Raw genomic sequence first — 26274 nt, forward strand, 5'->3', positions numbered from 1 at the left:
ATTGAGATGGGTGGATCACCTGAGGTCAGGAGTTCGAGACCAGCCTGGCCAACATGGCAAAACCCCGTCTCTACTAAAGATACAAAAAATAGCCAGGCGTGGTGGCGCACACCTGTGATCCCAGCTCCTACAGAGGCTGAGGCAGGAGAATCGCTTTAACCCGGGAAGTGGAGATTGCAGTGAGTCAAGATCGCACCACTGCACTCCAGCCAGGGTGACGGAGCGAGACTCTGTCAAAAAGAAAGAAAAAAAAAAGGAATTACAAGTGAGGCTGGGCACGGTGGCTCACACCTGCAATCACAGCACTTTGGGACACAGACCCGAGCAGATCGCTTGAGCCCAAGAGTTCAAGAATAGCCTGGGCGACATGCTGAAACCCTGTCTCTACAGAACATAAACAAAATGAGCCAGGCATGGTGGCATGCACCTGTGGTCCCAGCTACTTGGGAGGCTGAGGTGGGAGGATGACCTGAGCCTAGGAGTGAGGCTGCAGTGAGCTGAGATCAGGCCACTGCACTCCAGCCTGGGCGATGGCACAAGATCCTGTCTCAAAAAACAGAAAAAGCAAACAAACAAAACAAATAACAATAATAAACTCCAACCTTTTTTTAAAAAGTCCGGAACACAGTAATGAAACTATACAGAACATAGCTGAGAATCCAAAAACACATTTTTATTATCTCAAGCAGCCAATATAGAGAGTGACACATCAACACACTATAACATCTACTTTACTCCAGATAGAAGTCCTCATTCAGCCCGTTCTGGAATAGAAGCTACAAATCAGAAAACTGTAAGGGAAAGAGGGGAGGAGGGTGGACCCAGGAGATAGAAACTGCTTTAGAAAAGGGTATCTATGATAGTTAAAAATGTCACCCAACACCAAGGGAAGAAACAAAAGCAGCAACAAAAACAAACAAATAAATAAAAACCTATATACAGCAGAAACAAGCATTTTTAAAACAGTCTGGAGCTACTTAGTGTGTAACCAAAAAGTAGCCAACTCCCACTAAGGTCCTAAGAGCACCAATAAATTATAAACAGTACCACAATATAGTTTTTGTTGTTGTTTTTTGCTTTCTTTTTGAGACAGGGTCTCACTCTGCCACCCAGGCTGGAGTGCAGTGGTGCGATCTCGGCTCACTGCAATCTCTGCCTCCTTGGCTCACTGCAATCTCTGCCTCCTTGGCTCAAGCGATCCTCCCACCTCAGCTCCCCAAGTAGCTGGGACTACAGGCGCAAGCCACCACACCAGGCTGACTGGCTGATTTTTGTATTTTTTTTAGAGATGAGGTTTCATCATGTTGCCCAGGCTGGTCTCAAACTCCTGAGCTCAAGTGATCCACCCACCTTGGCCTCCCAAAGCCCTGGGATTACAGGCATGAGCAACCGCACCTGGACCATAATGTGGTTTTATAAAAAGACCTTGATTCTCCAAGAAGTGGTTAAAATAAGATTAACATTTAACATTCAATGCACAGGGAAAAAACATGAATACAAAATTATATCTGTATTATAACCAACTTCTAAAAATCTTACAGTTCAGATACCATCTGCCCTTACTAATTTAACTACCTGACCCATCAAAGACTGAGAAAGGTATGTTAAAGTCTACCACTATGATTGTGCTTCTGTCAATTTCTCCATTTACATATAACCACTTACATTTAGTATTTCGATGGTTTCACTCTATGCTTAAGTGTTCCATATTTTATATTCATTATGGCTTGTACACTATAACAAAATAAAATGTCCCTCTTTGTCCTGTTTTTTTAAAGCAAATAATAAAAACATCTCTTAAAACAAGGATGGAAAGCGAACACAAAAATATTAAAAGTCTGACTTAAGGGACACGGATTATAGATTAATGTGTTTCAGTTTTTATTAACAGTTATATGATAAATAATGATAAAAACAGAGGAAAAAAGGAAACATAAAATTCATTTTAGAAAAATTTCTATCCAAAATGGTTAAGCAAAATTGGGTTTTGGAGCTTAAACTAAATAAGATTACTTTATATGCCCAAAGAATCAAAATTATAAACAAACTAAAGGAAAAAAATGTAAATAGAAGAAAAAAATAATGTGTGCATGTTTCAATTCTCCTAAAATTTATGGCCAAAATGGTGAAGATGGCTATTTTCCAACATCTCCACAAATCCCTTTAAGGATAAAGATTTTTCTCATACAGCAATACCATTCTCAGGCCATGAGAAGTGCTTTTTTTTTTTTTTTTTTTTTTTTTTTTTACTTTGAAATGCCTATTTTTCCCACTAAATACAAGCTCCCTAAGGCTAGATCTTCATTTGCCTTGTTCACTCTTGTATCCTCCTATAAGAATACAAACTTGATAAATACTATATTTATTAAATCCTAAATGCTAAAATATCTTTAAAAAAATTGAATTGTCCTTTCCAAAGCACACAAAATAAAGGTGTACCAGCTGCTCACCAACAGCTATGGAAAAAGGGTGTCAGAACTCAACCCAGTTCTCTCTTCTACCCTGCCCAGATAACGTTCTCCCTGCTTTAGAACTCACACTGCCCACTGTGCACTTTCAGCTACTGACAGCCAACTATCAAGGACACAACCAAAAAGCTGGAGCTTCTGCAACTATGTGGTCAGTCTTCCCCTAACAGACCTCAAGTTATTTGAGCTCTAAATCTAAAAACAAAATTCTAAAACTTAACTTTTCAACATTAAAATCACCTATTTTTCTATCCAACAAAGATTGTACTTGAAGAAGTCTTTCTGGCTAAACAATGAGAAAAGACCCAAGCAAATAAGCAAGACTTCAATTAACTTCACCATTGACTACTGTGTCAGTCACAGAATGTCAGTCTAGCTGAGAATGTTCAAGGGATGTAAGTTAACATCAGGCAAAACCCTCCAAAGAAGTTACCATGCTTTCCCTCTTGCATTCTCCAGATGGCCTATATTTTTATATTATGGGCCATACAGAACCCCTATTTCAGATTTTTATTTCATATGTATATCTGAGTTGCTTTAACGCCATTTACAACCTGCAAAATACTATGACTAGAATGTGACACTAGAAAAGCTTAAATCAAATCAACTGATTGTATTATGCTTCAATCAGACTTTTACTTTACAATACATCTTATTCTGGCTATCATTACACTGATCTAGCCTAGCTGGTTTTCTCACTGCCTGTGTTTTTGTGGTTTTCTTTCTTTTGAGGGGAGTAGAGGGGTGCATACCTATTTCCCCTATATGAAGAAATGTGTTCACAGAAGGGAAATGGTCTACAGTGAATAAACGGAAAAGACCAGAGTTAGAACTTCACTGTTTGAATAGGAGAGATTAAATCTGGGGATAGGCCAGGCGTGGTGGCTCACGCCTGTAATCCCAGCACTTTGGGAGGCCGAGGCAGGTAGACTGCTCAAGTCCAGGAGTTCAAGACCAGCCTGAGCAACATGGCGACACCCAGTCTCTACTAAAAATACAAAAATTAGTTGGGAGTGGTGGCGCATGCGTCTGTAGTCCTAGCTATTCGGGAGGCTGATGTGGGAGGATCACTTGAGCCAAGGGGACTTGGGTTGCAGTGAGCTGAGATCGAATCACTGCACTCCAGCCTGGGTTGTGAAGTAAGACCGTCTCAAAAATAATAATAATACAATGAAATAAATCTGGGGATAAGTATTCTGGTCTTTAGAGAGGCAAACAGCATTGTAAGACAAGCATAATTCTTTGATCAGGTTTCACCATGGCTTAAAATGACAAAACACTCAAGACCAACTTTATATGGTCTGTTTCAGGCTCACAGTGCAACTTTCTGATTATTAAATACTTCCTTAAGCGCCTCAACTCCCAAGTACCTCCATACAAGGAATAGTGTCCTGTGGAATGCAGACACAAGTAATTCAGGAGAAAAGCATATCCCCCCCTTGTGAATTACAATACTACAGTATTATTATAACTTACAAATCAGTGTGTTTGATTGGTCTCAATCACCCCTAGGAGATGAACTACTAAAATGGAATTTCTGGATCTTCAAGGCTAAAGAATAGGCTGTGGAATGTAGGATCACATTGAGATACCACCCCACCCTGTCTAGGCAGCCAGCTGGCATCCCTCTAAGAGGACTTAAGTTCAATTCTCCCTAAATTGTCACAGTAATTACAGGAATCTTATTTTATGCTTAATTATCCATAACCAAAATTCACCAGAACTGAGATCTAAAAAGCAGATGTCTATAAATGCAAACATGCCTACTGAACAATTCAACAGCACTGAGATGCATAAAAAGCAGACTGGGCACAGTGGCTCAGGCCTGTAATCCCAGCACTCTGGGAGGCCGAGGAGGGCAGAATGCTTGATTCCAGGAGTTCAAGACCAGCCTAGGCAACACAGCAAGACCCTGACTCTTAAAAAAAAAATTATATATATATATATATATGTATGTATATGTATATAAGCATGAAAAGCAATAAAGGCCAAGTAAACAATGATCGCTAAACAAGACAAACATCTAATCTGACACTAATGAAATAAAAAAAAATTTCATTCTCCCAACCATAATCTTATTAGCAAAACCATACTAAAGTACTCTCAATTCAAGAAGTATCATCAAATTCTCAAAACGAAAATTTGGCTTAAAGACATGACCCAAAGGGTATAATTAATGTTGAAGGAGGTTATCTGATGTAAATATGGATGCCTTTTTAACTTCTATATATAGTCTGCTATCTTTCAAGTAATGAGCATGTAAAACTTGGAATAAAACTTGCTTTGAAAAAAAGCAAACAAATTAACAAAAACGTATAAATAAAGCAACTGTAAACTTTCAAACCTAGTAAGGTGTCATTCATTCCAGAAAAACTTATCTAAGTGTACTCTTCCCTAGGATGACAAGCAGAAACATTAGAAAGTTACTTAATATAGCCGGAGACGGTGGCTCACCCCTGTAATCCCAGCACTTTGGGAGGCTGAGGTAGGCAGATCATGAGGTCAGGAGTTCAAGACCAGCCTGACCAACATAGTGAAACCCCATCTCTACTAAAAATACAAAAATTAGCCGGGCGCAGTGGTGCACGCCTGTGACCCCAGCTACTCAGGAGGCTGAGGCAGGAGAATCGCTTGAACCCAGGAGGCGGGGATTGCAGTGACCTGAGATCGTGCCACTGCACTCCAGCCTGGGCGACAGAGCAAGACGCAGTCTCAAAAAAAAAAAGTTACTTAATACTAAGATGACAAATTTTCCCTAGCATATTCTTCATGAATCCAAGTTCTATTAATTCTGGATATACAAGGAGAGTGGGGGAGTTGTCCAAAGAAAATTAAAGATGGTATAATATTTACTTTTAATTAATGTATCTGATATTAACTAGTTAGAAATGGAGGGTAAACAGTCCCATTGACAATAGTGTCAAAATAAAATACGTAGGAATAAATTTAGTAAGAAAGGTATAGGAACTATACGAAAAAAACTACGAAATCTATAAAATATTTGTTGAAAGACCTAAAATAAACTTGAACAAACAGACACACACTACAGCAAGGAAAAATTATCATCAAAAACTGTTAAGGCTGGGTGCGGTGGCTCACGCCAGTAATCCCAACACTTTAGAGGCCAAGGTGGGAGGATCACTTGAGGCCATGAGTTAGAAACCAGCCTGGGCAATACAGTGAGACTGTGTCTCTACACTGCCTCCCAGATTCAAGCAATTCTCCTGCCTTACCCTACCGAGTAGCCAGGACTATAGGCGCGTGCCACCACGCTCAGCTAATTTTTTTGTATTTTTAGTAGAGACAAGGTTTCACCTTGTTAGCTAGGATGATCTCAGTCTCCTGACCTCGTGATCCGCCAGCCTCGGCCTCCCAAAGTGCTGGGATTACAGGCATGAGCCACTGCACCCAGCTGGAATGGATTCTAAGACAGTTTCAGAAACCAAAGAGGAAAAGAGGGATATATATAATTACCTGAAAATGTCTGTGACATAAATAAGATTAAAAGATAAATGAGGCCGGGCGTGGTGCGGTGGCTCACGCCTGTAATCCCAGCACTTTGGAAGGCAGAGGCAGGCAGATCACCTGAGGTCAGGAGTTTGAGACCAGCCTGGCCAACATGGCGAATCTCTGTCTCTACTAAAAGTACAAAAATTAGCCGGGCATGGTGGCGGGCACCTGTAATCCCAGCTACCCAGGAAGCTGAGGCAGGAGAATTGCTTGAACCCAGGAGGCAGAGGCTGCAGTGAGCCGAGATCACACCACTGCACTCTAGCCTGGGCGACAAGGGTGAGACTCTGTCTCCCAGGAAAAAAAAAAAGGATAAATGAAAGACAAGAAAAATACACGTGCCATATAACAAAGAATTAACATTCCATAAGCGCTCCTACAGGAGGAAAAAAAAAGAGAAAGAAAAATGAAGCAAGGACATGAGCAGACAATTCTCGGTAAAGGAAATCCAATGGCTATTATACGTATCAAATAAGGCTAGCCCCAGTAACAGGGAAGTTAAAATTAAGACAAACTGCATGACCCATTTATCATCTAGCAGACTAGTAAAAATTAAACTATGTATTTATACCCAGTGGTTTCATGATATGGAGAAGTTACTGCTATTTGGGATGAAAATTATGATAACCTATTTAGAGAGTAATCTAGCAATAATAATATTTAAAATATATTTCTCTGTTAACCCAGAATTCCCCCTTTGGAGACTACAGAAATAAAAGCATCAGCATATAAGGCGGCATGTACAAGGATATTTATTGTAGCACTTTGTTAAGTGGCAAAAATCTAGAAATGATCTAAATGTCCACAGGAAAATAATAAATTATGGTACATCCACGCTATAAGACACAATAGGACTGTTTAAAGGAACAAGATAGAATTATATTTACTGTGGGCTGAGTGCAGTGGCTCACACCTGTAATCTCAGCACTTTGGGAGGCCACAGGAGGCAGACTGCTCAAGTCCAGGAGTTTGAGACCAGCCTGAGCAATACAGCTATATCTCATCTCTTATTAAAAAACTAATAGGCTGGGAGCGGTGGCTCACACCTGTAATCCCAGCACTTTGGGAGGCCAAGGTAGGCGGATCATGAAGTCAGGAGATCAAGACCATCCTGGCTAACATGGTGAAACCCAATTCTACTAAAAATACAGAAAATTAGCGGGGTGTGGTGACAGGTGCCTGCAGTCCCAGCTACTCGGGAGGCTGATGCAGGAGAATGGCGTGAACCCAGGAAGCAGAGCATGCAGTGAGCCGAGACTGCGCCACTGCACTCCAGCCTTCGTGACAGAGCGAGGTTCCATCTTAAAAATAATAATAATAATAATAATAATAAAAAATTATATTGGCTGGGTGCGGTGGCTCACGCCTGTAACCCCAGCACTTTGGGAGGCCGATGCAGGCAGATTGCTCAAGCCCAGGAGTTCGAGATCAGCCTGAGCAACATAGCAAAATGTCATCTTTTAAAAAAATAATAATAAAGAATTATATTGCCGGGCACGGTGGCTCACGCCTGTAATCCCAGCACTTTGGGAGGCCGAGGCAGGTGGATCACGAGGTCAGGAGATCAAGACCATCCTGGTTAACATGGTGAAACTCTGTCTCTACTAAAAAAAAAAATACAAAAAAATTAGCCGGGTGTGGTGGTGGGCGCCTGTAGTCCCAGCTACTCGGGAGGCTGAGGCAGGAGAATGGCGTGAACCCAGGAGGTGGAGCTTGCAGTGAGCCGAGATCGCACCACTGCACTCTAGCCTGGGTGATAGAGCAAGACTCCCCATCTCAAAAAAAAAAAAAAAAAGAATTATATTGGCCAGGCACGGTGGCTCACACCTGTAATCCTAGCACTTTGGGAGGCCAAGGTGGGAGGATCATGTGAGGTCGGGAGTTCAAAACCAGCCTGACCAACATGGAGAAACCCCCCCGTCTCGGGTCGGGTGCGGGGGCTCACGCCTTTAATCCTAGCACTTTGGGAGGCCAAGGTGGGCAGATCACGAGGTCAGGAGATGGAGACCATCCTGGCTAACATGGTGAAACCCCATCTCTACTAAAAATACAGAACATTAGCCAGGCGTGGTGGTGGGTGCCTGTAGTCCCAGCTACTCGGGAGGCTGACGCAGGAGAATGGCGTGAACCTGGGAGGCAGAACTTGCAGTGAGCTGGGATCGCGCCACTGCACTCCAGCCTGGGCAACACAGCGAGACTCCGTCTCAAAAAAAAAAAAGAAAGAAACCCCATCTCTACTAAAAATACAAACTTAGCGGGGCATGGTGGCACATGTCTGTAATCCCAACTACTCGGGAGGCTGAGGCAGGAGAATCACTTGAACCTGGGAGGCGGAGGTTGCGGTGAGCTGAGATCACGCCATTGCACTCCAGCCTGGGCAGCAAAAGCAAAACTCCGTCTCAAAAAAACAAAACAAAAATGAATTATATTGGCTGGGCGCGGTGGCTCATGCCTGTAATCCCAGCACTTTGGGAGGCCAAGGCAGGCAGATCACTTAAGGTCAGGAGTTTGATACCAGCCAGGCCAACATGGCGAAACCTCATCTCTACTAAAAATACAAAAATTATCTGGGTGTGGTGGCAGGTGCCTATAATCCCAGCTACTCTGAAGTCTGAGGCAGGAGAATCACTGAACCCAGGAGGCGGAGATTCCCACCACCTGGGTGACAGGGTAAGACTCCATCTCAAAAAAAACAAACAAACAAAAAAAAAGAATTATATTTACTGACCATGACATGTTAAAAAAAAAAAAAAGCGTGTCATAGAGTAATATAAATAATATGATCTCTCTTTAGTAAAAACAAAAAATTCCTATGTACACTTACGTGAGTATGTACAGTACTTAACTAAGCATTGAGAGAAATATTGAAGCGTAAATTCATTCATAATCTGTTAAAATTTGGGGTTAAAATTAAGACTGTCATAGAACAGATGATGTAACACTACAGGGTAAACACTATAGGGTAAACATCCCTAATCCAAAATCTGAAATTCTCCAAAACCTGACATTTTTTGATTGTTGACATGATGCTTGAAGAAATGCTCTTCAAGGCCGGGCGCGGTGGGTCACGCCTGTTATCCCAGCAGGGGAGGCTGAGGCGGGCAGATCACAAGGTCAGGAGATCACGACCATCCTGGCTAACATGGTGAAAGCCCGTCTCTACTGAAAATACAAAAAATTAGCCAGGCGTGGTGGCGGGCGCCTGCAGTCCCAGCTACTCTGGAGACTGAGGCAGGAGAATGGCATGAACCCGGGAGGCGGAGCTTGCAGTGAGCCGAGATTGCGCCACTGCACTCCAGCCTGGGCGACAGGGCGAGACTCCGTAACCAAAAAAAAAAAAAAAAAAGAAAAGAAAAAAATGCTCTGCAAGTGTTTCAGATTTTGGATTTTAGGATTAGGGATGTACAAGTGGTGTAACGCAAATATTCCAAAATCTGAAAAAATCCAAAATATGAAACATTTCTGGTCTCAAGCATTTCAGATAAGAGATACTCAATGTGTATTTGGTTGAAAGAGCTAACTTATATAAATGATTATACAGTTGTACAACTCAAAGTAAAAGGAGTTCCATTAGTGTTTTTACAGCTCAAGTTAGTGAACCTATTTAACTAAACCTCAAAACTAAACAACTGAAAAAGTGTTCAGTCTTAAAAGGAAGCAAAAGAAGCGTTTTTTACTTACCTCTTTTTTTTGAGACAGTCTATCTCTGTCACCCAGGCTGGAGTGCAGTGGCACAGTCTTAGCTCACTGCAGCCTTGAACTCCTGGGTTCAAGTGATCTTCCTGCCTCAGGCTCCCAGGCAGCTAAGGCTACTGGCAAAGACACCACAACCCAGCTACTTTAAAAAATTTTGGGCCAGGCGCGGTAGCTCATGCCTGTAATCCCGGCACTTTGGGAGGCCGAGGTGGGTGGATCACCTGAGGTCAGGAGGTCAAGACCAGCCTGTCCAACATGGTGAAACCCCATCTCTACTAAAAGTACAAAAATTAACTGGGCATGGTGGCGGGCGCCTGTAATTCTAGCTACTTGGGAGGCTGAGGCAGAAGAATCGCTTGAACCCAGGAGGCGGAGGTTGAGGTGAGCCGAGATCGCACCACTGCACTCCAGCCTGGGTGACAGAGCAAGACTCTGTCTCAAAAAAAAAATTCGTACAGCCAGAGTCCCACTGTGTTTCCCAGGCTGGTTTCAAACTCCTGTCCTCAAGTGATCCTTCTGACTTGGCTTCCCAAAGTACTGGGATTACAGACATGAGCCACCAGGTCTGGCCAGCGAAGTTTATTTTTAGGTTGAGAAAACACGTAACATCTTTACATATCTTTGAAAGATTTAAAATATTTTAGCCAGGCTCGGTGGCTCACACCTATAATCCCAGCACTTTGGGAGGCTGAAGCAGGTGAATCACCTGAGGTCAGGATTTCGAGACCAGCCTGGCCAACGTGACAAAACCCCGTCTCCACTAAAAATACAAAAAGTAGCCAGGTACAGTGGTGCACGCCTGCAGTCCCAGCTACTCGGGAGGCTGAGCACAAGAATCGCGGGAACCCAGGAGGTAGAGGCTGTAGTAAGCTGAGATGGCACCACTGCACTCCAGCCTGGGTGACAGAGTGAGACTCTGTCTCAAAAAGAATAAATAAATAAATAATAAGATGTTTTTATTTATAAATTACAAAAGTCACATGTATTTTTTCCTCATCTTTTAAAAAAATGACTTCTTCCTTCTAAACCTACTTAATTTGTTGCCAACATTTATGATTTACTAATTAAATCTCTCCAATGGTCTGAGTAGGCTTTTTTTTAAAGTAAAATTTCCAAGTACCTAGTGAAAAAAAGCATTTCTCATTTCAATCATCTCATCCTAAACCTTGCCCTTTTATGCTAAAGTGTTAGTTAATGCTGACTCAACACATTTGGCAAGTGAGTTTTTTTTCTCCCACTTCTGGACCCTTCAAACTTTAACCAGTTTTTCCAGCAACCAAAACTCATGCCATATTAAGTGTATTGTGTTACTAGGTCAGTGAAGAAAAAAACTTAACACGTATCTTCAAAGTAAAAATGACACCTCATTCATGCCTGTAATCCCAGCACTTTGGGAGGCCAAGGCTGGTGGATCACTTGAGCCCAGGAATTCAAGATCAGCCTGGTCAACAGGGTGAAGCCCTGTCTCTACTAAAAATACAAAAATTAGCTAGGCATGGTGGCGCACACCTGTAGTCCCAGCTACTCGGGAGGCTGAGGCAGAAGAATTGCTTGAACCAGGGGGCGGAGGTTGCAGTAAGCAGAGATGGCTCCGATGCACTCCAGCCTGGGCAACAGAGGAGGACTCCGTCTCAAAAAAAAAAAAAAAAAAGACACCTCTTTTCCCTTTTCTATTTCTTGACCTCATTGAAATAAAATTTTCTATACAAAAAGGCAACTGTAAAAATGCTACTACATTTTGATAAACATATTTTATTTATTTATTTTTTTTTTGGAGACAAGAGTCTCGCTCTGTCCCCAGGCTGGAGTGCAGTGGCGTGATCTCAGCTCACCACAACCTCCACCTCCCAGGTTCAAGTGATTCTCCTGCCTCAGTCTCCCGAGTAGCTGGGACTACAGGCGCGCACCATCATGCCCAGCTAATTTTTCTATTTTTTTGTAGAGATGGGGTTTAACCATGTTGGCCAGGATGGTCTCGATCTCCTGACCTCGTGATCCACCCGCCTCGGCCTCCCAAAGTGCTGGGATTACAGGCATGAGCCACCTCGCCCAGCCAACAAAGATCATTTCAAAACCTGTAAGCCAAGAAATACAAAAGATTTCTATATGCTCTCTTAATTTTTTTTTTTTTTTTTTGAGACAGAGCCTCCATCTGTCACCCAGGCTGGAGTGCAGTGGCGTGATCTCAGCTCACTGCAACCTCCACCTCCCTGTTCAAGCAATCCTCCCACCTGAGCCTCCTAAGTAGCTGGGAATGCAGGTGCACATCACCATGCCCGGCTAACTTTTGTATTTTTAGTACAGACGGGATTTCATCATGTTGACCAGGCTAGTATCAAACTCCTGACCTCAAGTGATCCGCCTGCCTCGGCCTCCCAAAGTGCTGGGATTACAGGCATGAACCACTGCACCAGCCTGCTCTCTTAAGTTTAAAATTGCTTGTGGGCAAGGCATGGTGGCACACACCTTTAATACCAGCACTTTGGGAGACAGAGGTGGGAGGACCTCTTGAGCCCAGGAATTTGAAACCAGCCTGGGCAACATGGCGAATCCCCGTCTCCACAAAAAAATAATAAATCAGGCGGCACATGCCTACAGTCCCAGCTACTTAGGAGGCTGAAGTGGGAGGATCACTTGAACCTGGGAGGAGGTCGAGGCTGCAGTGAGCTGAGATTGCACCACTGCACTCCAGCCTGGGTGAAAGAGTGAGAACCTGTCTCAATCAATCAATCAATAAAAATAAAATTGCTTGTTACTTATAAGCTGAGAGGAGTTGAAAAAAAATTGTTTGCTACTTTCAACATTATTCTGCATTAGAAACTGAGTAAAAGCAACAGAGAATAAAGAAAGCCAAAATCAAGAACCGAAAACAGACTGAACGCAGTGGCTCCTCCTGCCTGTAATCCCAGCACTTTGGGAGGCCAAGGTGGGTGGATCACTTGAGCTCAGGAGTTCGAGACCAGCCTAGCCAACATGGTGAAACCCCGCCTCTACTAAAAATACAAAAATTAGCTGGGCATGGTGGCGCACGCTTGTAATCCCAGCTACTCGGGAGGCTGAGGCAGCAGAAATCACTGGAATCCAGGAGGTGGAGGTTGCACAGTGAGCCGAGATCGAGCCACTGCACTCCAGCCTGGGAGACAGAGTAAGACTTTGTCTCAAAAAACAAACAAAAAAGAACTGAAAACAATTCATAAAGCAAGGACAGACTAAATTACAAACACCTAAAACAGTATTTTTAAATGTTCTGAAGCTCTAAGTAAGAGTTTTAAAGTTTTGATAGCAATTAAGTCCTGCTATATACACAAAATTTTAAAATCCTCATCAAATGCAAATAAGGGGATTAAGCATTGTGGAAAATCTGTTTTGGTATGTAGATTGCCAATTCAATTTTTTTAATTAAAAATAATATCTTGGAAAATACTCATTCAACTTTTTAAATTTGTATAAATTAAAAGTTTTGGCCAGGTGAGGTGGCTCACACCTGTAATCTCAGCACTTTGCGAGGCCGAGGCAAGAGGATTGCTTGAGCCCAGCCTGGGCAACATGACAAAACACTATCTATACAAAAAATACAAAAATTAGCCCTGCGTGGTAGCACACGCCTGTAGTCCCAGCTACGTGGAGGGCTGAGGCAGGAGGATCGCTTGAGTCCAGGAGGTCCAGGCTGCAGTGAGCTGAGACCACTGCACTCCAGCCTGGGCAACAGAGTGAGACCCTGTCTCAAACAATAAAAATAATAAAAAAAAAAAAAAAGAGTTTTTATAAATCATAAAGAAGTTGGTTTTGTTTGCATACCACTGATTTTTAAAACTCCTTTTTTAAATAAACACTGGGGTGAAATATCACCAAGGCATTCCTGGCAAATTCTGTACTTTAAAGTTTCACTCTAAAATCTGCCCTCAAATCTAGAACTGCTATCAATGACAGAGGTCAGACCAAAGAACAAGCAACTGCCCCCAAAAGAAAACGGAGGTTTCCTAAACGCAAAGCAGACATTCAAATATGCACTGATCAATGGTGCACTAAACAACACTTTGCTAGGAATTTGTTAAGGCAAAAGGACCCTTTCTACAGTGAATGCAAACTATCTAAGAATGAATTTTTAAAAGTTTAATATTTTTAAATATTTTGGTAGAGACGGAGTCTCATTAGGTTGCCCAGGCTGGCCTCCAACTCCTGGGCTCAAGGGATCCACCTTCCACCTCCCAAAGTGTTGGGATTACAAGCATGAGCCACTGAGCGCCCGCCTGAATGACATTTAAATACCAATATATTAAAGCATGAAAAACACTGAGTTAACTAACATCTATGTGATAGCTCTTCTAACACCTTACTTGAAAAGTCTAAGTCAGAAATGGAACATTTCAGTAGTAACTGCGAGGGCATACTTACTAAATGAGTGAGCATTACATAGGTGTTCAGTGTTTGACAGTTCCTTTAAACCAAAAGAGAAAATTCCATTGCTTCAGGGTAATACAGAACTCACGTATCTAATAGTAACTAATATATTTTTGAAAAATCTGCTTAAATAACAAGATCACTGAGTATTTAAACTGAAAATATTGTTTTCTTCTGAGACATCATATGACCTATAGAGGAATTTATCTACAATCTCATTTCAATAACCTGATAATAATAATGCATCTATAAGTGGCTTAGCAATATTAAAAAGCTTGACTCAATTCAAGTTATAAATTTAAACTTCAACCACTAGACTGTGATCTCAAATAAGTTAATTTCTCTTTTGCAGATGTGAAAACCCAGGCTGAGATGAAATAAGGGTGATTCAATCACACTCGCCTAACTTGAAACGTAGGAAATGTATCAGTGAATAACTGTGAAATACTTTTTGCCAGGCACGGTGGCTCACGCCTGTAATCCTAGCACTTTGGGAGGCCGAGGCGGGCGGATTACCTGAGCTCAGGAGTTCGAGATCTGCCTGGGCAACATGATGAAACCCCATCTCTACTAAAATACAACAACAAAAAATTAGCCGGGCGTGGCGGCGTGTGCCTGTAGTCCCAGCTACTTGGGAGGCTGAGGCAGGAGAACTGCTTGAACCCGGGAGGCGTAGGTTGCAGTGAGCCGAGACCGTGCCACTGCACTCCAGCCTGGAGACAGAGGGAGACTTCGTCTCAAAAAATAAATAAATAAAAATAAAGACATACTTTTTATTCAAGCATGCTAGACTGCAAACATGCCTTTAGAATAAAAGTGACGAGATTACGAGTACTTAGAGGGTTCATATTTTTCAAACGTGAAAGTTAGGGTGTGTGACAAGTTAGGTATTTGACAAGTATTCTAGGGAACGGTGGAAGTGAATATTTAAAATTCAGCTATCCCCAGAAAAACCCAATACATGAAATCATTACAAGTATTTTTTAGAATCAGTCAGCAAAGATCATTACTGTACAAACACTTCAAAGTTAAGGTCACTAAGAAAGCACTAACTCCTCCCTTCTGTTAACTAATCACTGTAAAGCAGCCCAACTCTCCTTTCTACCTACCTCAGATTAATATTTTTCTCCATGGACAGATTTCCGTGCTCAGGGATATATAATAGGGGAGAAAAAAAAATACCACACAAGTGTCAGTAAGCACCAAAAAGCTAAGTATTCAGCACAGGGAGGGAATCCACATATGAGAAAACATTTGACAGCTCTTGCCTCCCAAAAGCCATTTAATCTGCTTCATAAACATAATCTGCTTCATAAACATTACCCTGAGCGAGTGGTTCGATGGATCTCCTACACCGAGTCCTAACCGGGAAACACAATCAACCGAACCGTCCCGACTCTTTCAGGCAATCAGGAAGACCGGGAGAATTATTAGACGCTGACGTCCGCAGGGCCAGGAGCTGAGAAAAGGGTAAACAGTATACTCGCAGGTAGGTTGAAAAAAACAAAACAACAACATATACACACACACACGAAAAATTGGGAAAGAAGTTGGTCGGAAGGTTAGAGAGAGGCGAGGCCGATGTCCGGTTCCGAGAGGACGGCACTGCAGGGGCAGGCAGCGATTAACTGGGCATTTGGATATGCTGGGAGTTATCTGACAGACCTGACACGGGTACAAGACACAAGAACGCTGATACGTGGCTCAGAGAAGACACGCGGGGGTGGGGCCCGCCCCGCTAAACCCCAGGCTCCCTGAATGAGCCCTCAAAGATCGCAGCCTGAGAAAGTCAAGGGTTCAAGGAGGCCCGTACCGGCGGGGCAACGCCACAACACGGAACGCCGCGGCGCGCGGAACCTCCCGGTCCGAGGCCTCGGGGTCGGCCCTCCAGAAGTCGGAGCAGCCCCTGGGGCTCCCGGCCTCTCCTGGCCCAGCTTCTCTGTCTTCTCTTCTCAACACCCACAGCCTGGGACTGGACCCCTGAAACTGAAAGGAAGCTTCCGGTCGAGCGCCCGCGGCAGCGGCGGGGCAAAAGCAGCAATATGCTCTCAGCGCCGGGAGTGACACTCACCGGCCCGAAACCTCGAATGAAACCAGCAGCTCCGGGGGCGGCGGCAGCAGTGGCAGCAGGAACCGAACATCCAAAATGGCGGCTCCCTCGGCCTCACCACCGCTACCGCAGGCGGAGGGATCCTGAGGAAGGAGGGAGTTTTTAACTAACTTCACACACTATTGAGGAAACTTCGCTCCCTGTCCTCCTCTCCTGGTCGTTTCCGTGTCCTCGTACTGCAACTTATCGTGCCTTTTCTCTCGAATTATCCAAGAACTCGGACCCTGCCGAGGACTATTTGCCAAGGAGGAGGCGACTGCTCCTGGCAGAGCGACGCAAACGTAGCAAGGATCGGGGCTGTCACTGATGACGCGAGACGCTGCTGCCGAGTCACCGCTGCGATGAGTCTGAGCGAGAAAGATCCGGCCTACCCCGTAGCGGACGGACATTGGTTCCGCTTGGTGAGGGGGTAGGGGGGTGGGGGGTAGGGGGGTGGGGGGGTAGGGGGGGTGGAGCTGGGCTACCAGGAAGCGGTGGAGCCACCTGGAGGGGGCGGAGCTAAGTCAGGTAGCCCAGGAAGTGAGAGCAAGCGAGACAGGTGGGGGCGGAGAAGACAGCAGGGCTGAAAAGGTCTTCGTCCACGGGAATCCCGAACTCTTTGCTGTCTCCTTTAAGATTTTTGCTTTCTTTATAACTTAAGGAGCATGCTCCAGGTGGTATTCTATGGTTTTATGGTGTCTTTGCAACATATTTTATGAAGAGTTAAGAGGATGACTGAAAAGAATGGATTCCACGCCCGGTACCGCGGTGCTTGCACTGCTCAAGTCACTTAAACTCTCCAGGGATTCAATTTCCTCATATGTAGAAAGAAGACTTGGACTCATGTTAGCTGAAACCCTTACAGAATGGGCTTTCGGTCTATGACTCCATGAATTAATAACCAGGGCCAAAGAAAGTCTAACCAGACAGTTCCTAACCTGATAAATAATTACTAACATATGACGTGAGTCTTTTCCATGTGAATGTAAAGAGGGCCTGATATCTTGGCCTGTTTAAAGGAAAGGTGACCTACCTAGACTAAAATCCTTCTGCTAGATTGGCAACAAAGTACAATACAACACAGCAGCAGGCTGGGTGCCAAAGAGAACAGAACCAACCACACAAAAAAAATTTTTTTTTTTTTTTTGAGACAAAGTCTCGCTCTGTTGCCCAGGCTGGAGTGCAGTGGCGGGATCCCGGCTCACTACAACCTTGCCTCCCGGGGTCAAGCAATTTCTCGTGCTTCAGCCTCGCAAGTAGCTGGGATTACAGGCTCCCGCCACCACGGCCGTCTAATATTTGCATTTTTAGTAGAGAGAGGGTTTCGCCATGTTGGCCAGGCTGGTCTTGAACTCCTGACCTCAGGTGATCTGCCTGCGTCGGCCTCCCAAAGTGTGGAGATGACAGGTGTGAGCCACCGGCCTGGCCAGAACTAACCACAAATCTTGAGTTTAGGATTTGGGTGTCATAGAGAGAAGGTTGCACTTTTTTCCTTAGTCATTTTCATGCAGGGATTTCAAAACACTTAACAAAAATTGCTCTAAGTAGGCCGGGCACAGTGGCTGACGCATGTAATCCCAGTACTTTAGGAGGCCGGGGTGGGCGGATCACCTGAGGTCAGGAGTTCGAGACCAGACTGGCCAACATGGTGAAACTCCATCTCCACTAAAAATACAAAATTAGCCGGGCATGGTGGTGGGCACCTGTAATCCCAGCTACTCGGAAGGCTGAGACAGGAGAATCGCTTGAACCTGGGAGGCAGAGGTTGCAGATAGCCGAGTCTGGGCGACAGAGTGAGACCCTGTCTCACAAAAACAAAAAAAAATTGAACCAAGTAGGCCCATCTGTACAATTTTGTCCCTGAACTACTGGGGCATGCCAAGTGGCTGGAAAGAAAGGAGGCCATGGGTGCGATAATAATTATCATTTGTATTATTAAATATTGATATCACATTGTTCATAAGGCACTTTCATGTGTATAATCTAATCTGACCCTCTGGACAACCTCCTGAGTCAGGCTAGGCAAGCATAAGTAACTTAGTTTTACAAATAAGGAAAAAGAGGCTCCAAGAAACTAACTTGGCTAAAAGACACATCCTCTCCCCTCCTCCACTGGGGTTCTGCTACAGAGCTATAGAGTGCCTTTTTTTTTGAGACAGAGTTTCACTCTTGTTGCCCGAGCTGGAGTGCAATGGCGTGATCTTGGCTCACTGCAGCCTCCGCCTCCCAGGTTCAAGTGATTGTCCTGCCTCAGTCTCCCAAGTAGCTGGGACTACAGGCGCATGCCACCACGCCCAGCTAATTTTTTGTATTTTTAGTAGAAACGGGGTTTCACCATGTTACCCAAGCTGGTCTCGAACTCCTGACCTCAGGTGATTCACCCACCTCGGCCTCCCAAAGTGCTGGGATTACAGGCATGAGCCACCATGCCAGGCCAGAGTGCCATTTTATAAATTAGCATAGGGTACCACAATCTTCCACCACCCCTACCTACCCACCCACCTACCTACCTACCTACCTACACACATACCTACACTCTCAGGGTGGATGGAGTCAACCCCCAACAAGTGGTTTAGAGAACAGAATGTTTACAGAATTCAGATCCTCTGCCATGCTGCTACTGTACAGTGCAACCATGGACTACAAGGCTAGTAAATAGTGGAATGAAGCCAAAACACAATTTCCTCTGAGGTATAGCTATGCAGGGAACACAGGCCAAACTTAGTTTGGGGTTTCCACATAAGTAAGAAGTTTGCAGGTTGCAAAGCAGAGTTAGCTAAAGTATTCCGTTTGGAACACCACAAAAAAATGCTTAGAGGTCAAATTTAAATGTGTATCATTGTGAACCACAAAAGAAAAATTAAGCCAGCTACCTAAGGAGGAGAGAGCTTTTTTTTTTTTTGAGACGGAGTCTCACTCTGTCCCCAGGCTGGAGTGCAGTGGCACGATCTCAACTCACTGCAAACTCCGCCTCCTGAGTTCACGCCATTCTGCTGCCTCAGCCTCCAGAGCAGCTGGGACTACAGGCGCCCGCCACCACACCTGGCTAGTTTTTTGTGTTTTTAGTAGAGACGAGGTTTCACATGTTAGCCAGGATGGTCTTGATCTCCTGACCTCGTGATCCGCCCGCCTTGGCCTCCCAAAGTACTGGGATTACAGGCGTGAGCCACCGCTCCCGGCCCCGGAAAGATCTTTTTTCCTACCATATCGAGTGCAGAGCGTTAAAGAGTTTTAAACATTAAAAACTAAACCCTTTCTCAGTACTTTTTAACTTACATTTCTCTTTATTTTGTTTTTGTTTTTGAGACAGAGTCTCTGTCGCCAGGCCGGAGTGCAGTGGCATGATCTCAGCTTGCTGCAACCTCCACCTCCCGAGTTCAAGTGGTTCTCCTGCCTCAGCCTCCCGAGTAGCTGGGACTACAGGCACGTGCCACTACATCCGGCTAATTTTTGTATTTTTAGTACAGACGGGGTTTCATCATGTTGGCCAGGCTGGTCTTGATCTCTTGACCTTATGATCTGCCCGCCTCAGCCTCCCAAAGTGCTGGGATTACAGACGTGAGCCACCGCGCCCAGGCCATTTATCTTTATTTATAATTACCAAACCCTTCTTCCATGCAACTAAAATTAAAAGCAGTTGCCCCAGCTGGGCACAGTGGCTCACACCTGTAATCCTAGCACTTCGGGGGGCCAAGGTGGGAGGATCACTTGATCCAAGGAGTTTGAGAACAGCCCAGGTAACATAGTGAGACCCTATCTTTCTTCCTTCCTTCCTTCCTCCCTTCCTCCCCCCTCCCCGCCCCTCTTTCTTTCTTTCTTTCTTTCACGGAGTTTCACTCTTGTTGCCCAGGCTGGAGTGCAATGGCACAATCTCGGCTCACTGCAGCCTCCACCTCCCGGGTTCAAGCAATTCTCCTGCCTCAGCCTCCTGAGTAGCTGGGATTACAGGCATGCGCCACCACGCCCAGCTAATTTTGTATATTTTAGTAGAGACAGGGTTTCTCCATGTTGGCCAGGCTGGTCTCGAACTCCTGGCTTCAGGTGATCCACCTGCCTCGGCCTCCCAAAGGGCTGAGATTACAGGCATGAGCCACCATGCCCGGCCTCCTCATCTTTTAAATAAATGAATAAAATAAATAAATAAAAGCAATTGCCCCAATATGTAGCATAGTCACATTATCTTGGAATCTTTGGTTTCCATGGCTAGTGATTTAAGTTTAGAAAGGCTTACTCCCCATCTTCTCAAACATAATCCCTAATTCCAGATAAATAAATTACAGCACATCTATAAAAGGTAATACTATGCTACCAATAAAATGAAAACCTTATTATTATAGTATGGCAGACTTTAAAAGGAAATATTATAAAACAATGTTATAAAATGAGCTTGCAAAGTGTATATTGAGCCACCTCAGGCTCCTGAGTAGCTGGGACTACAGGTGCATACCACCATGCCCGCCTAATTTTTTTAAAAATTTTTTGTAGAGACACGGTTTTGCCATGTTACCCAAGCTGGTCTGGAACTCATGGGCTCATGCGATCCTCCCACTTTGCCCTCCCAAAGTGCTGGAATTACAGGCGTGAGGCACTGCCATTGGCCAAAGATTATTATTTTTATGGGTTTGTTTACTACTGATAACTTACATGCATAGAAAAAAATTGAAGGACAAAACTAAAATTTAAAAATGGCTTTTTTGGGCCGGGCGCAGTGGCTCACACCTGTAATCCCAGCACTTTGGGAGGCCAAGGCAGGCAGATCATGAGGTCAGGAGATCAAGACCATCCTGGCTAACATGGTGCAACCCCGTCTCTACTAAAAATACAAAAAATTAGCCGGGTGTGGTGGTGGGCGCCTGTAGTCCCAGCTACTCGGGAGGCTGAGGCACGAGAATGGTGTGAACCCAGGAGGCGGAGCTTGCAGTGAGCAGAGATTGCACCACTGCACTCCAGCCTGGGGGACAGAGCGAGACTCCGTCTTAAACAAAACAAACAACAACAAAAAAATGGCTTTTTTGGATGATGGGATTACAGATAATTTTTACTTTATTATATTATATTATATTTTGTTTTTGCAACGAGCACACCATTCTTTTAGTTAAAAAGAAAATTCTTATAAGAAAATGCAGTTTTATGGATTTTTGTTTTTATTTTATTTATTTATTATTTTGAGACAGAGTCTTGCTCTGTTGCCCAGGCTGGAGTACAGTGGCGTGATCTCAGCTCACTGCAACCTCTGCCTGCCAGGTTCAAGAGATTGTCATGCCTCAGCCTCTCGAGTAGCTGGGATTACAGGTGCCTGCCACCACACTCAGCTAATTTGTGTATTTTTAGTAGAGATGGGGTTTCACCATGTTGGCCAGGCTGGTCTGGAACTCCTGACCTCAGGTGATCTGCCCACCTTCACCTCCTAAAGTGCTGGTATTACCGTGCCTGGCCAATTTTTGTTTTTAAAACAACAATATCCTGAAAGTGTTAAACAAACTTAGTAAGAGATAATAACTAGGAAAAAAATTTTGGTTTTTTTTTTTTTGAGACAAGGTGTTGCTCTGTTGCCCAGGCTGGGGTGCAGTGGCACAATCACAGCTCACTGCAGCCTCGACTTCCCGAGCTCAAGTGATCCTCCCACCTCAGCCGGGACTACAGGTGCATACCACCATACCCAGCTAATTTTTTTTTTTTTTTTGTAGAGACGGGGTTTTGCTATGTTAGCCAAGCTGGTCTGGAATTCTTGGGCTCAAGTGATCCTCCCACCTCACCCTCCCCAAGTGCTGGAATTACAGGCATGAGCCACTGTGCTTGGCCAAAGATTATTATTTTTATGGTTTTGTTTACTACCGAGGACTGCTTCAATTTAACAATGAATAGGCCGGGCACGGTGGCTCACACCTGTAATCCCAACATGATTACTTTGGGAGGCTGAGGCAGGCAGATCACCTGAGGTCAGGAGTTCAAAACCAGCCTTCCCAACATGGCAAAACCCCATCTCTACTAAAAATACAAAAATTAGCCAGGCATGGTGGCGTACACCTGTAATCCCAGCTACTCGGGAGGCTGAGGCAGGAAAATCACTTGAAAATCACAGAAGTCGCAGTTAGCCAAGATCGCGCCACTGCACTCCAGCCTGGGCGATAGAGCAAGACTCCATCTCGAAAATAAATAAGTAAATAATAATAATAACAACAATTTAACAAAGAACAACAACAAAAAATAAAACTGAAGAAACATTGGCTAGCAGACAGACCACTTAGATGCCAGTCTTGGCTAGGTTTAATTCATTTTTTGCCCAGAGCAAGGTGTTAAACATCTCTGAGCCTGTTTACTCAGCTTTCCAATATTTATTTGTCTTGCCTGTTCCAAAATGGATTTAGAGTGGCTTGTTATGCAAAAGGGATCAGCTACATGAAAGCACTTTGAAAAGCCTGAAGCATCATAAGAATGTAAATACTGAAATTTTTGTGCCGCCTCATCATTCAACTAAAGCATTTACTGACTGCCCTTTATAAGTAACAGTAGTACAGTGTGTCTTACATTTACAAAAGTATTTTCAGGCTGGGCGCAGTGGCTCATGCCTGTAATCCCAGCACTTTGGGAGGCCAAGGTGGGTGGATCACTTGAGGTCAGGAGTTCGAGACCAGCCTGGCCAACATGGTGAAACCTTGTCTCTACTAAAAACACAAAAATTAGCCGGGCATGGTGGCACGCACCAGTAATCCCAGCTACTCAGGAGGCTGAGGCAGGAGAATTGCTTGAACCCATGAGACAGAGGTTGCAGTGAGCCAAGATCGCGCCACTGCATTCCATCCTAGGTGACAAAGTGAGATGCTGTCTCAAAAAAAAAAAAATTAATTAGTTGGACATCATGGCATGTGCCTGTAGTCCCAGCTACTCAGAAGGCTAAGGCAGGATTTTTTGACACCAGAAAGGTAAGGCTGCAGTGAGCAATGATTGCACCACTGCACTCCAGTCTGAGTGGCAGAATAGGACTCTGTCTCAAAAAATATATTAAAAAAAGAAAGAGTGAGAGAGAGAGAGAAACAAAAGGAGGAGGGGAGGGGAGGAGAGGCTCAGAGAGATTAAATGATCGGTCACACTTTCATACAGTAGAGGCCAGACTCAAATGTAGTCCTTCCATCTCTGGATTTGTCTTCTAGCCCATATAGTAATCATTCAAACAGGCTACCTGATTATTTCCCCTATGCCACACTGTCCTGGGTGCACCAGAATCTGTAATAGACATAACAAAAGAGACTGCCCCTATCCTTCAGATAATTACAATCTCATTGAGGAAAACGAGATTTTTTAAAAATCCAAAAATATAAAATAAGCCAGTGATATCATTCAGCAGATAAGTCCTAGTTCAGAAAGAGAAGAAAACGGAGAGGTCGCTGAAGTTCTAGTTCAGAAGGAGCAGAAGAAGGAGAGGTTGCTGGGAGCTAGAGCAGTGAAAGATGGCTTTTGGAATACATAGTATCTGGTGGAATCTGGGGTACTAGAGGGGAACTGTCTTGTTTGGGCTTAGGATGCAGTGAGTTTCTTTCTTTCTTTTTTTTTTTTTTTTTTTTTGGAGACAAAAAAAAAAGGGTCTCGCTATGTTGCCCAGGCTGGAGTGCAGTGACACAATCTCGGCTGACTGCAACCTCCACCTCCTGGATTCAAGTGATTCTCCTGCCTCAGCCTCCTGAGTAGCTAGGACTACAGGGGTATGCCACTGCACCCAGCTAATTTTTGTATTTTTAGTAGAGATGGGGTTTCATCATGTTGGCCAGGCTGGTCTCGAACTCCTGACCTCGTGATCCTCCCACCTCAGCCTCCCAAAGTGCTAGGATTACAGACTTGAGCCACCTCATCCGGCACAGTGAGTTTCTTAAATGATTCGGTCAGTATCAGCAGCTGAAGCCCATGTGACCTTTAGAGCAGATGGGGAAAGCTCTCTCTGAAGAAATGCAGTTAGCATCTTTCACAAAGAACCCTTCCTGCCTCTCCACGTGCCAGAGATCTCAGCCGAGAAAGGAGAGTGAAGAGGGGCACAGCCGTGTAAGAAATACAATGACGTGAGTCAAAGAGGCGGCTCCACTGGCCTGTTTTGTTATCCTTTGAGTCACACGAATCTATAAATAAGACTGAAAGACAGAGAGAAATTAGTCTGTCTGCTGTTTCTGTAATGTTTTCACAAAAAGCATTTTCACAATTCTTTTAAAGCACAGTCCCTAATCACGATGTATGCTGGCCTGAGACAAGAGTTTAGGAATTCATCTTTAACTTATGACAAAAGCCAGAAAGGATGTAAAAATTAAAATTCCAACAGCCAACTCCATACACTCTTTGACCTCTTACCAAGAGCATTAGGAATTCTGCTATATGTAGAAGAGTAAAGACCAAAGCCCGGAGGACATTAGCTTCTGCCAACCTTCTTCTTTGTTTCAGAATTTTTTTTTTTTAAAGAGGCAGCCCTAGGCCGGGCGCGGTGGCTCGTGTCTGTAATCCAGCACTTTGGGAAGCCAAGGCAGGTGGATCACCTGAGGTCAGGAGTTCAAGACCAGCCTGGCCCACATGGCGAAACCCTGTCTCTTCTAAAAATACAAAAATTAGCCAGGCGTGGTTGCAGGCACCGGTAATCCCAGCTACTTGGGAGGCTGAGCCAGGATAATCACCTGAAACCGGGAGGTGGAGGTTGCAGTGAGCCGAGACTGTACCACTGCACTCCAGCCTGGGCAATAGAGTGAGACTCCATCTCAAAAAAAAAAAAAAAAAAAAAAAGAGGCAGCCCAAAGTGCCACCTGAGATGCTTTATGTTACAATATTTTCTTTTTCTTAGAGTAGTTTTTCTTGACTTGTAAATTATTCTGTATTATTTTGGCACTTTTGGAGGGAAAAACTTTACCAGGTATGAGACTGCAATCAACTTAAATTCCAAATTGAGGAAATGGTGCCATTCTCCTGTTAGGAATGACAAAATTAAGGTCACTAGAAGAGAATGCACCATCTAGAAACAAAGCAGGATTTCTGACCCATTGTTTTCTACTCAAGTAATTTTATTTCCTTAATATGGACACCATTAAGCCAGGAGCAGTGGCTCATACATGTAGTACCAGCTACTCAGGAGGATGAGGCAGGAAAAACCCTTGAGCCCAGGAGTTTGAGACCAGCTAGGACAGCATAGTGAAACCTCATCTCGAAAATATGTATAAATGTGGGCACCGTCATTTGTCTAGAAAAATCTATAGTAAATTGTTTTGTTTTCCTTTCATTGCAAAGTCTCATACTTGTTCTTCCAAAATCAGTTCTATGAGTTGCTTTAAAATTAGCCTGGGACGTCCAAGAAGTGTTAAGACATCTGCAGTAACTGGGGCAGCCAGTCCCTGGAGGCCAACTCAGGGAACAACAAACTCCTTCGCCAAGCCGTCCACACATGCCAGCTGATGGTCTAGGACCCAAGTATGTGCCAAGAGTGAGGTGTCTTACTTCTAAGGAGAGGCAAGCAGTTTGCTATGCAAGCGGGTCGCTGGCCCTGGACCTAAAGATCTTCTCTCTAACTCCATATTCTTTAAATAAACTTGTCTTTTATGAGGAGTGGAAAATCTTAGAATGAAGCATTCAAAATGAAACTGATTTTTTTTTTTTTTTTTTTTTTTTTTTGAGATGGAGTCTCGCTCTGGCACACAGGCTGGAGTGCAGTGTTGCAATCTCGGCTCACTGCAACCTCTGCCTCCCGGGTTCAAGCTATTCTCCTGTCTCAGCCTCCTGAGTAGCTGGGATTACAGGCGCGTGCCACCACGCCTGGCTAATTTTTTTGTATTTTTAGTAGAGACAGGGTTTCACCATGTTGGTCAGGCTGGTCTCCAACTCCTGTCCTCCTGATCCGCCCGCCATGGCCTCCCAAAATGCTGGGATTACAGGCGTGAGCCACCGCGCCCGGCCCCAAACCGGGTTTTTAAAGAGTCATTGGTTTATAGGTATCACCTTCTCATATGCAAAAGGAGGAATGTAAACTCCCCCGGATATGTAAAAGAGAATTCTGAACCAAAAATTTTGCATAACCAATAATTACATCTAAAAATTAATTTGGCTTTTGGGTATGAGCCTAAAACGAAACTTAAAAATAAAGTATAT

At 44.1% G+C, this 26274-nt stretch overlaps 1 protein-coding gene and 1 long non-coding RNA gene across 3 annotated transcripts in view, besides 5 other annotated features; one reads left to right on the forward strand and one right to left on the reverse strand.

Moving 5' to 3' along the window:
• Positions 1-16218, reverse strand: part of AP1G1 (adaptor related protein complex 1 subunit gamma 1) — a 79835-nt gene extending 63617 nt beyond the window's left edge. For both annotated transcript variants that reach the window (NM_001128.6, NM_001030007.2), the window contains exon 1: positions 16147-16218. The gene's annotated coding sequence lies outside the window, so the exon portion shown is untranslated. The remainder of the gene's footprint in view (positions 1-16146) is intronic.
• Positions 15349-15996: an enhancer, noted in NCBI's record as "H3K27ac hESC enhancer chr16:71841868-71842515 (GRCh37/hg19 assembly coordinates)". NCBI's record gives its function as "activates a minimal SCP1, AML or CMV promoter by ChIP-STARR-seq in primed H9 embryonic stem cells {active_cell/tissue: H9 hESC(primed)}" and the evidence as "EXISTENCE:reporter gene assay evidence [ECO:0000049][PMID:30033119]".
• Positions 15349-16629: a biological region, named in NCBI's record as "H3K27ac hESC enhancer GRCh37_chr16:71841868-71842515".
• Positions 15940-16629: an enhancer, noted in NCBI's record as "active region_11077". NCBI's record gives its function as "activates an Ori minimal core promoter by ATAC-STARR-seq in GM12878 lymphoblastoid cells {active_cell/tissue: GM12878}" and the evidence as "EXISTENCE:reporter gene assay evidence [ECO:0000049][PMID:35858748]".
• LOC124903714 (uncharacterized) lies at positions 16342-25742 on the forward strand. Its single transcript, XR_007065110.1, has 2 exons — positions 16342-16586; positions 25446-25742. It is a non-coding gene; the product is annotated as an uncharacterized LOC124903714 (long non-coding RNA).
• Positions 17190-17269: an enhancer, noted in NCBI's record as "active region_11078". NCBI's record gives its function as "activates an Ori minimal core promoter by ATAC-STARR-seq in GM12878 lymphoblastoid cells {active_cell/tissue: GM12878}" and the evidence as "EXISTENCE:reporter gene assay evidence [ECO:0000049][PMID:35858748]".
• Positions 25682-25731: an enhancer, noted in NCBI's record as "active region_11079". NCBI's record gives its function as "activates an Ori minimal core promoter by ATAC-STARR-seq in GM12878 lymphoblastoid cells {active_cell/tissue: GM12878}" and the evidence as "EXISTENCE:reporter gene assay evidence [ECO:0000049][PMID:35858748]".

This window comes from Homo sapiens, chromosome 16, assembly GCF_000001405.40.
Source record: "Homo sapiens chromosome 16, GRCh38.p14 Primary Assembly".
Lineage (NCBI taxonomy): Eukaryota > Metazoa > Chordata > Mammalia > Primates > Hominidae > Homo > Homo sapiens.